This window comes from Homo sapiens, chromosome 9, assembly GCF_000001405.40.
Source record: "Homo sapiens chromosome 9, GRCh38.p14 Primary Assembly".
Lineage (NCBI taxonomy): Eukaryota > Metazoa > Chordata > Mammalia > Primates > Hominidae > Homo > Homo sapiens.
The window spans coordinates 68,937,420-68,952,677 of NC_000009.12; the positions used below are offsets into that span (position 1 = coordinate 68,937,420).

Sequence of the window (15,258 nt, forward strand, 5' to 3'; positions counted from 1 at the left end):
GTTTGTATTTCTGTGGGATCAGTGGTGATATCCCCTATATCATTTTTTATTGCATCCATTTGATTCTTCTCTCTTTTCTTCTTTATTAGTCTGGCTAGAGGTCTATCTATTTTGTTGATCTTTTCAAAAAACCAGCTCCTGGATGCATTGATTTTTTTGAAGGGTTTTTTGTGTATCTATCTCCTTCAGTTCTGCTCTGATCTTAGTTATTTCTTGTCTTCCGCTAGATTTTGAATTTGTTTGCTGTTGCTTCTCTAGTTCTTGTAATTTTGATGTTATGGTGTCAATTTCAGGTCTTTCCTGCTTTCTCTTGTGGGCATTTAGTGCTATAAATTTCCCTCTACACACTGCTTTACATGTGTCCCAGAGACTCTGGTACGTTGTCTTCATTCTCATGGTTTCAAAGAACATCTTTATTTCTGCCTTCATTTTGTTATTTACCCGGTAGTCATTCAGGAGCAGGTTGTTCAGTTTCCATGTAGTTGTGCAGTTTTGAGTGAGTTTCTTAATCCTGAGTTCTAATTTGATTGCACTGTAGTCTGAGAGACTGTTATGATTTCCGGTCTTTTGCATTTGCTGAGGAGTGTTTTACTTCCAATTATGTGATCAATTTTAGAATAAGTGCAATGAGGTGCTGAGAAGAATGTATATTCTGTTGATTTGGGGTAGAGAGTACTGTAGCTGTCTATTAGGTCCGCTTGGTCCAGAGCTGAGTTCAAGTCCTGAATATCCTTGTTAATTTTCTGTCTCGTTGATCTGTCTAATATTGACAGTGGGGTGCTAAAGTCTCCTGCTATTATTGTGTGGGAGTCTAAGTCTCTTTGTAGGTCTCTCAGAACTTGCTTTATGAATCTGGGTTCTCCTGTATTGGGTGCATGTATATTTAGAATAGTTAGCTCTTCTTGCTGCATTGATCCCTTTACCACTATGTAATGGCCTTATTTGTCTCTTTTGATCTTTGTTGGTTTAAAGTCTGTTTTATCAGAGATTAGGATTGCAACTCCTGCCATTTTTTTTTTCCATTTGCTTGGTAAATATTCCTCCATCCCTTTATTTTGAGCCTATGTGAGTCTGCACATGAGATGGGTCTCCTGAATACAGCACATTGATGGATCTTGACTCTATCCAATTTGCCAGTCTGTCTTTTAATTGGGGCATTTAGCCCATTTATATTTAAGGTTAATATTGTTATGTGTGAATTTCATCCCGTCATTATGATGCTAGCTGGTTGTTTTGAGCTGGGCTGAGTTCTTATCAGGAAGTGCTGAAGACGAATCCTCTTCCAAGCTCATTCATGTTGTCGGCAGAATTCAGCTCCTTGTAGCTGTTGGGTGGAGATCCCTGCTTCTTTGCTGTCTGACAGCCAAGAGCCATGTTTAGCCCTGGGGTCCATCCACATTCCCTACCATGCTGCCCCTCTGTCTTCAAACACAGAATGTCCTACAAGTCAGCCCCAAACACTTTGTCTCTCTGACTTCTTGTCTCTGACCTCTAGACCCAGATTTAAAGGGCTCGTACAATTAGGTGAGGCTCCCCTGAATAATCTTCCCTTTGACTAACTCAGTGTTAGCCAACTCAGGGCAACCTGAGTTACATCTGCAAAATCCCTTTTGCTAGGTCACATCACATAGCCACAGGAATAACAGCTCATCATGTCTGCAGGCCCCACAACAAAGGGAGAATTTACAAGAGTGTGGGTCATTACGGGTCATCTTAGAGTTCTACCTACGACACTGGCTTTAGAAAAAAGCATATGGGAGCATGAGGAAACACTTCTCTCCCTCAAAGAACTGCTCCTCATGGGTTGAGGGGTCACCTTCCCAATGATGTGTGACCTGAGACTGAGTCACTGGACAGATGTGTTTTGCTCTGTCACTCAGGCCATGTCTACTTTGTGAAGTAAAGCTGGTATGCCCAAAACCTAGGTCGAAGACCAGCTCCACCTACCTTATAAGGAGTGGCAATTCATTGGAATCTGATATCAGGTTATTTTTGACACCCAGTTTTCAATGTTATGGAGAGTTTTCATGTTTTTCTTTCCATTTAATGAGAAGTTGGGATCAAGAATATTGAAGATTGCAAGCCAGGTGTCACATTAAAGTTGAAGCCTTTCTAATTTTTGAAGGTTGAGCACTTTGGTTATTCATGGTTTTATATGACGATCATCTTTTATCCATCGCTGCAGTTTTCTATTTTGACTTGAATTGGAGGCAGAGCTCCACCACCCCAGTGTGTCGTCTGATTTCCCAGACTAGAGTCCAGCCTTTCCTGTGCTTGCCTGGCTTCCCTCCATGTTGCTTCCTACCCCACCATCTATACCCTTCACATCCAAAATCCAAAACCTCACACTCATACGAGAATCCCTGTTAGGGTCGGTTTATATTTACACACTAAAAATCTCTAATTTTGAATTTGTTGTGCCTATAAAGGAATACCAGGAATACCTTAAAGTTATAATTGTATTTATTAGCATCTATTTTAGGTCAGTCTTGGGGGAGTGATGGAAAGAATCCACATAGACTCCAGAGAGATGGGCAGGGGTTACTGCCCAGCCTTGAACATTCCTCTTTCCTCACAAGGATGGGCTCTCGCATAAGTAATTTCATGGGCCCCTAAGTTTTAAAGAAAAAATAAGTGTTTTCTCATTTTTAAAAAAGGCAGCTTTGCTGTTAAAATATGTCAATAAGAGTCCTGGATAATGTTTAAAAGTATTTATGGGCTCAGATGGGGTTAAGGTAGAGCTGACTGTTAGTCTGTTGAAGTATTTGTTTCCCAGCTCTTGAAAAGCCTGGGTTCTTAGATCCAACCTGAGAATCATAGATATGTGCATATCACAGGGAGGGCAAAAAGGTTCACTGTCTGTTTATACACTTGCCAGTCATCCTTTTAATCTCTGCCAAATTGTCTGCTTTAACTCCTATGAGTTTTTTTATGCCATCTTTTTGAAATAGTAAATCACTTTATTAGGTTTTTAAAAGAACATTCATAATGTCATTTCCATGAGCCATTTTGTAAATTAATGCAATTTCCTTCCTGTTTAACCTGTTTGCAAGAAGCTATTTTACATTTCTGCTGTAATTCAGAAAAAAAAAGTGCAGTTAATTCATAATTGAATTTGCAGCCTGATAGGTAAAATGAATGCTTTTGACTCATTTCAATTATTATAGATACTAAAGCTGCATTTATCCTTGAGATTCATGAATGTGTGTGTTGCTTTCGTTCCTAGCCCTGGGATCCCGACACAGGCCAGACCTGGTCCCTAGCACTCCATCACTGTTTGAAGCTGCTTCCTTGGCAACCACAATTTCATCTTCTTCCTTATACGTCAATGAGCACTATCCACACGACAGGCCTACACTCTATTCAAACAGGTAATACTTAGTGCAGTCAAATAACCCATCAGGCTGTTACCACATCAACATCAGGCCTGAACCAGTATCTCTGAATGAGGACACGTCTCTAACAACCAGGATGTGCCTGTCATCTGCCTCATAGGTCGGAGAGAGAACATGCTTGATTTTTACTGTGGCAAAAGAACATTGGAGGGAAAACCCTCATGATTTTTCTTTACAGTTGATCATTATGTCATGTAGAAATTATATACTTGGCTCAATGGAAGAAGACAAATCTTTCATCATTTTTATTTTAGTAAATTTTTTAGGAATGGGTTTCTTCAGAGTGAGCACTCTTAGTTAATATTACACAGGTAGCTGCAAAGATATTGTAATATTCTCTTTTGGTATGTGTGATCTTAGTGACTATGGTAAACAGAATAATTGCTCCCCCAAAGCTATCCACATCCTAATTCCTGTAACCTGTGAATATGTTACCTTATATGGCAAAAGGGACTTTACAAATGGGATTAAATTAAAGATCCTGAAATGGGATGATTATCCTGAATTATCCAGATAGGCCCAATATAATCACAGGGTTCTTGTAAGGGGAAGACAGAAGAAAGGTGAGAATCAGAGAAGGAGACACAACATCAGAAGCAGAAGGCAGGATACTCCATTTGCCCTGATATGATTATTATTCATTGCATGCCTGTAATCAAAATATCTCATGTAACCTATAAGATTTTTGGAAATTGTATGCTCTCTAGCAACTTTGTGTGAATTTTTATATAAGCACTGTTTTATAAGTTCTATGAAGTGTTATAAAAATAGAAACAAATTTTAAAAAATAAGTAAAATAACAATTATCTGTTAAATGTTAGACTAGTTCTTGTTGAAACCTAGCTCTCAATAATCAAGATCAGATTTATGCAGGTGAAGAATTCCTTACGCTTTAAGTCATTTTCCATCTCCAGGCTAGCAGTTCAGTTGATTTCCAGGAAGAGGAATCAATAAGGTAGATTTATTTTTAATATATGGATATCCATAGAGTCTAGCTTAGTCTTTTGGTAAGTTAAAGTTTGCTAGTCGGACCTGCTATAGGAATTCTTTTTTGTTGCTGTTTCCTCCTCCCTCAGCTAGATACAAGATTAGGTAGGCAGGAGGTTAGGCGGCCAGTCTAGGTCCAGAAAAGTAGATCAAGTGGGTAGCAAGGTGAGCCGCAAATCTTAGCTGGGCCTGAGTTTGCACTGTTCTGCTCTAAGGGCCAACAAATAAGGCTCTATTAAAAATTATTTAACTCATCTAAACTATACAAAGTTATTTGATTTGGTCAGTTTCCTTGGATTGGAGAAATTTAAAATGACTTAAATTAATGTGTAATACTTAGTAGTAATGTCAAATGTTTAAACCTGGTATGTAAATTAGTCAAGCAACGGCCTTTCCTGTCTGTTTGGTGCAGCTGAACACATGGGTCTATATAAAGTTCTTTTGCTCTCAAATATAAATAGCAGCTCAAAAGATAGCTGGAAGGTTGCAGGAAGTTCTTAGCAAGGTCAAAAACAATTCTCATGTGAAGCCATGGTGATTTCTTACCGTTTGCTGTCATGATAATTATTGGGGCATATAATCGGATGTGCTCTTCAATCATTTCGTGAGATTTTCAGCCAACAATAAAAGGGTTTTGTTTTGTTTTGTGTTTTGGTAGCAGTGGTGGTGGTGGTGGTGGTGGTGGTAAGTATCCAGTCTCTTGACCAGGGGTGTTAGACTCTTGGGTATTCATAAGGTTTTCCCGGGGCCTGGCAGGGCCTCCTCCTGACTCCCAATCGTTCCTGGCCATCCTGGAAGCTACCTCTGCATGTTCCACCTCCGCATGCTCCCAGAGCTGTGCTGTCATTCTTGATGCTTTTATTTACACCGATACTGACTAGCATATAGATTTGGAGGGGGAAAATAAAAAGTTATCTATGATATTTTTCCTTTCTTTTAAATATTTATTTAAAACAAGTGCATTGTTTTAATCTTCTTTGGCACTGTATCTCCAAAATGCAATTTGATATCTTATATTTCACTATCAATCAAGGTTCACTTGCAAGAACAAGAAACCACTTAATCTTAACCAGAAAGGAATTTAATCTAGGGAATTGGGTGCCTACAAAGTCTGTGGAAAGGCAGTGGGCATGGGCTCCAGGCTGGCACCAGGAAATCCATCCTGGAACATGCCACCAAACTGAGCCACCAGCAGCACTGTAGCAGGACCCACAGTCAAGTTGGTGCCTGCCAATGAGATGCAACCCAGACAAACGCATTTCAGTGAGCCTAGAATGTTGTTTCAATGAGCCACCCTTTAAAAACCAAACAACTTCGCTAAAATACCCAGATTCTTTTGCAATATCAGTGTCTTCGTCACCATATAATTTTGGCTCTGTTTCCTCCTGGCATTTATCAGCTGGAGGGGAAAACCTGAGACCACCCCAGGTGACCACCCTCTTCCTCATTCATCTGTGCTGTCACCTGCCTGCTCCTGTAGGTATGTCTGCTTTTAGCCTTGATGTGTACAAGAAGCTGACAGAAGGGCCTCGGGTCTTAATCACAGACTTAGGGAAATCATAAGGAAAAGAGGCATGAAGGTGCTAAAAAAATCTTAAAGACAACAGTTTGAGAACTCCCAGGAGTCAATATCCCTATTTCCCTGACCCACTGTGCCCAACCCTCATTATTCAACTGGCAAACTTCACCAACAAACCAAAACAAAAGAAAAAATTGTCATATTTTTGTTTCTATCATTTTTTCCTTTAGAGCCCACCTAGTCCTATGTGGCAATAAATAGACACTACTCTAAATCTCATCTGGCCAACTGAGTTTCAAAACCTAATCCAGAGAGCCTGGAAAGAAAATGCATTGAAAAGAAAAAAAAAAGAAAGAAAAAGAAAATATGTTGAATATTGATGTTATAATTTACATGTGAGATTTTTCTCTTTATGAATCATTTTTCTGTTCAGGCAAAGTGGTCTGTTTTCCGATTTTGACATTATGTTATATGTATCTGTGCTAAAATAAGCTGCAAATACTTCAACTAGCAGTTGTCATTCTGTCAGTCTTTTTAGAATCCTTAAGTTGGCAAGGTATTGATTAGTGCCTGGATGCCTCCACACCTAAATTATATACTGCAGTGGGAAACTGCTGTCTCTTAGAATTATTCCTTTTTTTAAAGGATTATTCTTTGTAACTTCAAAAACTCTGATAGCAACCCATTCTTTTTTTAATGTACTCCAAAAATTGGCTAGGAAGGAAAGAAAAAAAAATAGTATCATCTTAAAAGTATGTATCTAACCTACTGATTGGGAGTACATATTTTCACAAGTTGCACTGTGCAGTCTTGTGTTAGAGCATGCAGATCATAGGAATAAAGAGAAACTGTCATGGGCATTGCTTCCTAGTTAACTAGCAACATTTAAGTTCTGAATTTTTGATACTTGCATTTTTATTTACTAGTAAGAAGTCTGTTCTTTTAAAAAGAGGTATAAATTGAGCACTAAGAAATATAGAGGCAAATGTGTTTTACCTCAAAGTTAAGAACAATTTCATTTAATGTTGTAGAAATAGGTTACACTTATGAATATTTTCATGATTTCCTGCGTAGTTGGTAGCAAAGCCAAAGCTCTGGTTATGCATAAGGAATTGAAAGTCACACTTCATTCCAGTGCACCTATGCTTTCCCCATCAAAGATGTCTTACCAGTGTCACCACTCTATCCAGTCTCAGGTTTGGTTGGTGGCTATTTCTAACAGTTGGGCTCACCCTGCAGACATTTGCAGTATTGTGAGAAGGGCAAAAATGTCAGAGAAAAAGCCACTGGTCATTTACACGTAGAGGGAAAATTGGCAAAGGCTCCCTAAATGATGAGTCCAACATTCTAGATCTCAGAGGCTAATCCATCAGATCTAACAGTCTTGTGCCCTCTTCTTCCTGCCATTACAGTGTCATAAACCTAGAACAGGGGTGGAAACACTCTAACCAGAAGCCCTTCCCCACAAATTGCTTACCACTAAGGTTTATAGACATGCAAGTAGAGCCATCCCAGTGGTTAGAGATCTTTCTTTAGATTTGTCTAAAATATCAGAAAATGGAAATGCAGAAACCTTACATGGTATATCCGAGCGTGTTAGTAGGACTTCAGTTGAACACAGGTCTCTAGGGTCTAAGCCTCTTGTCTTTTCCACTGTACCACTCCTGCATCATAGCCTCCAAAAACATACAAGGTTGGTTGGTTGGTTTTTTTCCTAACATGAGTTCTGGTCCTGTGTTTGAGACCTTTTTTTTTTTTTTGCTGCTTAATAACTAAAATATTTCTAGCAGGCAAAGTTGTGGGCTTATGTTTTGGTTTTTGGGTTTTGGTTTTTTGGGTTTTTTTGAGAGAGTCTCGCGCTGTGGCCCAGGCTGGAGTGCAGTGGTGCCATCTCAGCTCACTGTAAGCTCCGCCTCCAGGGTACAAGTGATTCCCCTGCCACAGCCTCCTGAGTAGCTGGGATTACAGGCACCCGCCACCACTCCTGGCTAGTTATTGTATTTTTAGTAGAGGCGGAGTTTCACCATGTTGGCCAGGCTGGTCTCGAACTCCTGACCTCAAGTGATCCACCCTGCTCAGCCTCCCAAAGTGCAGGGATTACAGGTGTGAGCCACCGCACCCAGCCAATGGGCTTACGTTAATGTCTACCTATAGTATTTGTTCTACCAGCTATTGGTGAATTTTGCTTATTAAAAACAGCATTGCAAAGGCAACTTTTCTATCATAATATTAGTCCTACTTCAAACCACCAATAATAATCGAATACAATAGCAGCTAATTATTGGACCTTATTAAGGGCCATGTTAAGCCCTTTATACATATCAAGTGATTTAATTCTCACAGCAATTCTGTAAAGTTATTATATTTACGGTCTCCATCTTACACATGAGGAAATTGATGCTTAGCAACATGAGGTAACTTTCTCAAGACCACATGGCTAAAAAGTGGAGGCATGACTTCCAGCTACAGCACTGATATAGAATATACAGTTTCAGATGATAAGTTTTAGATGATGCTTTTAATGGAAATTTGGTGACATCCATACAAGTTCTCGTCTTCATCTTTTTGCCTTTTCTTTTTCCATGGGATTTTGAGTGAGGATTTTCATCTTCAAAGATGTTAGAGACAGAATGTTCAAACACTTTAAAAATTTAACATTAATTTAAATTTATAAGAAACCTAAAATAGCTATTTCCTCAAGTTGTTATTTCCAACTCTCCAGGTGGACTCCAAATCACTACGTAATCATCGAGAAAAGACTTTTATTAGATATGTTCCTGCTGGGTTTAGAAAATCCTATATCTTCTGTTGATACAGCAAGGTCAGCAGGAATCTTTAATATTTACAAAATGAAAGGAGAACAGCTAGTTGCAAAAACTTCCTAGTGATTCCATTCCCCTAACCCTAATCTCAAGGGAAAGACAGCACAACTGTGTTACCTGCTGTGAACTTTGCAGCTACCTGCCATACCTAGACACCAGTCTAGGGCTACACAGCCCCTAGTAGGATGATGCACTCGTTGATGCTAAACATTGAAGACGACCTCTCCAGACTCTTTGTTCTTTTATGGTTTTTTGTTTTTTGTTTTTTTTTTGAGACAGAGTCTCTGTCACCCAGGCTGGAGTACAGTGGCGTGATCTCAGTTCACTGCAACCTCCACCTCCCGGGTTCAAGCAATTCCCCTACCTCAGCCTCCCGAGTAGCTGGGACTACAGGTGCGTGCCACCACGCCCGGCTAATTTTTTTTTAGTAGAGACGGGGTTTGGGGTTTCAACGTGTTAGCCAGGATGGTCTCGATCTCCTGACCTCTTGGTCTGCCCGCCTCAGCCTCCAAAAGTGCTGGGATTACAGGCATGAGCCACCACGCCCAGCCTGTTCTTTTATGTTTCTTAATCTGCTGACTCCTGCCTTGCAAACAGACCTTCCTACCCCCACCACCTCAGATGGTGGTGGGTAAAGATGCTCATGCGTCTTGCTAAATCATCCCTTAGGACATTAGCTCTCAAACTGCCACTTCTAGTGATCTAACATTGGGCAAGTTACTTGCTCGTCATGTGCCTCAGTTTCCTCATTTGTAAAGTGTGAATTACTATACTACTGCCCCCAGAGTTGTTATAAAGATTAAATGAAATAACAATTAGAAAGCATTTATACCTTGTGGCACATAGTAAGCCCCATAAAACATTTGTTGAAATAAAATAACCAAGTGATTTGAGACACTAATACCTTGCAGCTGCCGCATAAGTCTCACTGTAAAGGGCATGATGTTTTTGACAAAAAGCCATCATGGAGTGCTTTGTTAGAGTCCTTTCAGGAAATGGAAAACACACTTGGAATTTCAAAGGGAATTGGTTACAGAATGTGGGGAGGCTGGAAGACTGAAGGGGGAAATTCCAGAAACTCAGGTAAATAACTGCAGGAGGCAGCTCCCACCATGAGCTCTGCCACGATACCTGCTGCCGCCTTGGAGAAGGGACAGTGGCGGAGGATGCTACCTGAAGAGCTGGGATAGTGCAAGAACATAGCCACCTCCAGAGACACTGCCCTGAAATGGAAGAAAGATAAATGAGAGCAGAAAGCCAGCAGCTTCTGTCCTCCTGCCACCTTCTCATCCAACTCCTGCAATGCCTTGACTGACAGGACCTAGTCAAGAGGCCTATGGGATATCGTTTGCAACTCTGGGCCCCAGCATTGCAAAGTAGAGTTGAGATAGGATAAAAACAACCACAACACATGGAGCAAAAGCTAGATAGACACAGGATCTTTTTTAAAAGAGAGAGAGAGGAAAGGGTCAAAGCTTTACAAAGGTAGTGTGAGTGCAAGAACAGGAATCAATTTAGGCTTTTATAGAAGTAATCATGGAACCAATTTATTCTCATGCCATTGTAATAGTACTATGTAAAGTAGCCATAAATTTTTTAATGATCTGTGCAATTAGAGACTCCAGTATTTACCAATAAGTCTGTCTGACAATCAGTAATGCATTCCCTGGTACTGTGCTGGTTGTAAATACTCATAGAAATGTCTTAGCTAATTCTAGACACATGGGATAGATCTTTAGTTTGAGAATTCCTCAAAGAGGCTTGTAAGCTTGAGGAACCCAAGTGAGACTCCCTCTGATAAGGCAGGTGACACAGTTTGGGAGCAGATAGCCATCACCCATGCCCTTACAAAACATTTCTGCTTTATTACCAATACATCATTTGTGAACCCACCACCCCTGCAACATCTTATCTGAATCTTTCTTAGTCTGGAGCAAACACAGAATGAGGGGAAAATGTGGTCACATTCTTTCATTCTTAGTAAAGAAAGGATTTAGTCACCTTTTCCCAAGTGTCAAGAAATGAAGTCATCAAGCAAATGATACCACATGTTTAGAGAAGCAAAAACCTTCCTTATTCTTCAGTCTCTTGAAAGAAGGATATTCCATTTTAAAAATCAAAACCATTATAGCATTACCAGTGAACCTGAGTGGTGTCACATCTCTCTCCAGTTGTGGCTGAGGCACATGCTGAAAAAGTTGGAACCTGGCTGCGAGTGATGGCTCATGCCTCTAATCCCAGCACTGTGGGAGGTGAGGCAGGAAGATCTCTTGAGCCCAGGAGTTCGAGACCAACCTGGGCAGCTTAGCAAGACCTCATTTCTACAACAACAACAGCAACAACAACAAAAAACACATCTGAGCATGGTGGCACGTGCCTGTAGTCCCAGCTACTTGGGAGGCTAAGATGGGAGGATTGCTTGAATCCAGGAGTTCCAGGTTTCAGTGAGCTGTGATCATGCCACTGCACTCCAGCCTGGGCAACAGAGGCGAGACCTTGCCTCAAAAAAAAAAAGGAACCTGCAGAAGTTTTATAATATGCCTGTTAGTTTAGTTTTTCCTCCCCACCCCCAGAAAAAAAAAAAATAGAAGAAAAAACATGGATTTACATCACATTAGTCTGCACCTGGATTTTGCCAGATGTCTTTTTTCCTTTTTGACAAATTATAGAATTACTTCTGAAGTGATTAGCTTTTCAAATGATCCCTCATATATTTCTGCCAGGGCAGGAAATTGAAGTGAATTTTTCAGATATCTGACATTATATGAAGAATAATTTAGGATTCAGCATTAATTCAAAGAACATTCACATTTTTTGAGGAATTCATGTGAGATAATATTTCTGGGTACTTTTTGTGTGTTACTAAGATTTTTAAATCGATTTAGTTTATGGATAAATCATATTGCCAAAAAAAGTGGGAAAACTGTTGGCCAATTTTTGAATATTTTAACTGACAAAAAAAAAAAGACTTCTTTATCCATTCTTTGCCTCTTAATTCTGGAACTAAAACACTACATCTTTATTTCCCTTGACTTAAAACACTAGTGCTATGTCTCTGGAAGAATGGTTTGCTGGTAGTGGATGTACCTTTGTAGACACTCTTCAATTCTCTGCCCTCCTTCGTGGAGCCTCTAGAGAAATGCTTCTCAGTGTGACTAGCTCCTACATCAGGGTACCTACCTCTAGAAATGGAGCCCTGAAGTCTGCATTTTGGCAAGCTCCTTAAGAAATTCTTACCCACACTAGGATATAAAAGTTCTTTGGAAATAAACTCTTCTCCCCTCTCTGTTCTTTCTGAGTAGTGAAACAGCACCTGTCTGTGGTTCAGCTGAGACACAGCTGGACTCTCTGAAGAAATTAAGAGGACATAACATGTAATGCCAGAAATATAAAACCATAGCAAAGTGGATATGTTTTCAGATTCTAGTAAGGAGAACAGGACCTCAGTTCCTTTCTCATACTTCAGACATGCCTGGACAGGCCCTAAGCAAAAGTGACTTTTTGCCTTAAAGGTGTTAAAAGAAAAAGTTCAGCTGAATTAAATTGAAAGGAGTTTACTTGAGCAGTGAACAATATGTGAATCGGGCAGCCCCCAGAATCATATAGCAGATTCAGAGAGACTCCAGCGCCGACACGTGGTGGAAGAAGATTTATGGACGGCAAAAGGAAAGTGGCGTGCAGAAAACCGAAGTGAGGCACAGAAACTACTGGCTTGGTCAGAGCTCGGCGTTTGCCTTATTTGAACACGGTCCGAACAGTTGGCTACATCTGATTGGCCAAGACTCAGTGGTTGGCACAAATGTAAACTATGGTTGGTTTACACTTCCGCTTGTTGTATAGTTATCGATGTACAGAAAAACCTTTAGGCCAAACTTAAATATGTAAGGAGGCAGCTTTAGGCTAAACTTCATTTAACAAAGGTATTTTAGGTTAGCAACACCTCTGGGAAATGCTTCAGCCAGCCCCAAACCTGCTTCCCAGTGTGGTTCCTCTGACCTGAAGCCAACATACATTTCTGCCCAGCAGCTATTCGTGACCTCCCTGAGTCTACAGAGATCCTTGGTTCTGTAGTCAAGCAGGGTAATTCTCTTTCAGATTCCTTGGCCTCCACTGACTCCCCCTCTTTGCTTAAAGGTCAGTTTGGTCCTTCTGAGCCTTGAGAGTCCCCCTCTCCACCCTGACCATTTCACTCTGCTGTTTGCTTTGTCCACGTGACAGTTGCACTCTTGGGTGAAGCTGGCCTTATGCAAATTTCGTCTCACCCTAGAGAGCCCCTGGCCAGCAGCCTCACACAGGGCAGCACCCTTCCCAGGAGCTTGTCCATACCCATTCAGCTGCCTTCCCTGCCATGGCCTCTCTTCGAGACGTTTCCCTTTGGCCCAACCACTGTATTTCCATTTGCCTTCTGAGCCTAGCTCTTGTGTTGTGTACAAAGTAGTGTTCCCTGTGTGGGCCTGGGATCTGTAACAGGTGAACTTCCAGGTTCATGTTACCAGTTCTGGCCATGTCTCCTCCACCCAGAGGTCCTCTAGCTGGGGGGTCTGCAAGAATCCCAAGATTCATTTTTGTTTCTCTGATATGCTTCAAACATACAGGAAGAGTAACAAACAATTTCTTCCAAGGCAAGTAGAAAGTTGGTCCCGACATCCTCTGTTTAATCCTTCTGTTACCTGTGGAGTCATCACCACAGTAGTGAGCCTTATCTCCTGTAATTTAAATGACTTGTTGATTTGGGAGGGAAGGAATTTCACTGGGGAAGTCCACTAACATAAACCTGCTGCTGAGGACTCATTCACTTCACAGCACCAAGCTGGCCCAGCCTCCCCACAGACAGACCAAACGCCTCTACCACAACCTGCCTTTGCATTTAGTTCATGATAGTTATGGGTGCAGGAGAATTAGGTAAGTGTAAGGAGGGAACTAGGAGACAATGTTAAACTCTCCATTCAGAATAATATTAATCTAAAATGGAATCATTTAATAACCTGTTTTCAAGGATAAAGTAATAAAGGTGACATGTGTAATGAAGTAATGGAGCTCATTATTTTTCCAGCCAGCCCTATTAAAAATTAGTGTGTGGAAGGTCACAAATAACTTAAAAATGACCAGATTTGTTTTCAAAATGAAGGATTTGGCTATAATGCAAATTTCATCCTGAAGGCTACATGGGGAAAAAAATAATGGTAGAGTTTCTCTGTCTTTTCTTTCATTGCTTCTCATCACACTGGAAGAATGGTTCAGACTAAGCACTTTGTCTGGGAGAAGATTTTTTGTCTTTTATTTATGTATGAGTGCATTTCAGTTGGTGTCCTCCTAATTCCAACCACCCTCACCTGCTGCTTTCTGTGTGGTCACTGAGTTGTGACAGGAGAGAGGCCAGGTATTCGAAGGCCAGGTCAAAGCTCATTTAGGGAACCGGTCGAGCCTTCGCCTTTTCCCTGTTCACCCTCCTGCCTTTCCAACCTAAGTGGTAAAACTCATCCTGAAAGAATCACGGAGCTTTGGAGATGAGAGGGAACTTTGGCCATCATGTCATCCAGCCCTTTTATTTATTAAAAAAGGTATTGATTGATTTTAAAATTTATAAATTATTTTTGTAACAAAACTCTATGCCCAGAGTTTAACAAATAGTCGTGTAACATGTGTTAAGAAAAAGAGCAAGCCGTAGTCCACCTCCCCCTACGTCTTCATGTGCAATCACCTTCAACTCTTTGAGCTGATTCCTTTGGCAATTACTTTGGTTTTTCTAAATAACATGCTTATATTGTTATTGCTTGATCTATTGGGTGTAGGCATTAGCTAATAACTGCCCACTATAGAAGACGAAGATTTAGCTGTCTTTTCTCCACCCGACACATACCACGTATGTGTACTGTTCCCACCCCCTCCTCCTACACCCTTCCAGTTTCCCTGTATAGTTACATCTTGACTGTAGTCCGATCGATATTGAGTGTTTTATTATGGCTTTGTGAATAGTGTCATATACTATGTTTCAGTTTCCTTTCCTGTGTGACTTTTTGTTTTTATTGTAATAAATGACTGCCTTGTTCTTCGGTTTGCTTAGTTTTCTGTGTATTTTTCCTTAATAGAACCCTAAGCTTTCCACCAGTGTCTTCATTTCTTCTCAAACCATTTAAGTGCATGAGGTTCTGTTCCTTTTATTGTCTTGCAGAAGTTTCCGCCAGACACTTCTGACCAGCCTGGACTGAACTGGTTGCCCTCTAGGACCTGATGTACAAATGTTACTTTGGGGCCTCTCTGCTCCATCATTCTGGGGATTCTAGTAACCTCTTGTCTGTATCAGTTCCGTTGTTTGTCATCTCCTACATCTTCCTCTTTGCTTCTTCCTCTTTCTTGGTTTACTCCCTCATTTTGGTGGAACACATTTTCCAGAAGAAAATCCTCCAGTATGAAAAATATTCATTGCAGGCAAAATATTTGAGATCTTGCATGTCTTAAGTCTTTATTCTAACCCTAACACTTGATTGATAGATTAACTAGTATAGAATTCTAGATTGCAAATATTTTGGATTTT

The 15,258-nt window shown here is 40.5% G+C and overlaps 1 protein-coding gene across 14 annotated transcripts in view, besides 3 other annotated features; it reads left to right on the forward strand.

Annotated features, from left to right (window-relative positions):
* PIP5K1B (phosphatidylinositol-4-phosphate 5-kinase type 1 beta) overlaps positions 1 to 15,258 on the forward strand; it is a 303,937-nt gene that overhangs the window by 232,180 nt on the left and 56,499 nt on the right. For all 14 annotated transcript variants that reach the window (XM_017015189.2, XM_047423951.1, NM_003558.4 and 11 more), the window contains one exon: positions 3,227 to 3,371. In XM_017015189.2, coding sequence (XP_016870678.1) covers positions 3,227 to 3,371 — 145 coding nt within the window. The remainder of the gene's footprint in view (positions 1 to 3,226; positions 3,372 to 15,258) is intronic.
* Positions 9,318 to 9,994: an enhancer, noted in NCBI's record as "OCT4-NANOG-H3K27ac hESC enhancer chr9:71561653-71562329 (GRCh37/hg19 assembly coordinates)". NCBI's record gives its function as "activates a minimal SCP1, AML or CMV promoter by ChIP-STARR-seq in naive H9 embryonic stem cells {active_cell/tissue: H9 hESC(naive)}" and the evidence as "EXISTENCE:reporter gene assay evidence [ECO:0000049][PMID:30033119]".
* Positions 12,424 to 13,043: an enhancer, noted in NCBI's record as "H3K27ac-H3K4me1 hESC enhancer chr9:71564759-71565378 (GRCh37/hg19 assembly coordinates)". NCBI's record gives its function as "activates a minimal SCP1, AML or CMV promoter by ChIP-STARR-seq in primed H9 embryonic stem cells {active_cell/tissue: H9 hESC(primed)}" and the evidence as "EXISTENCE:reporter gene assay evidence [ECO:0000049][PMID:30033119]".
* Positions 13,044 to 13,663: an enhancer, noted in NCBI's record as "NANOG-H3K27ac-H3K4me1 hESC enhancer chr9:71565379-71565998 (GRCh37/hg19 assembly coordinates)". NCBI's record gives its function as "activates a minimal SCP1, AML or CMV promoter by ChIP-STARR-seq in primed H9 embryonic stem cells {active_cell/tissue: H9 hESC(primed)}" and the evidence as "EXISTENCE:reporter gene assay evidence [ECO:0000049][PMID:30033119]".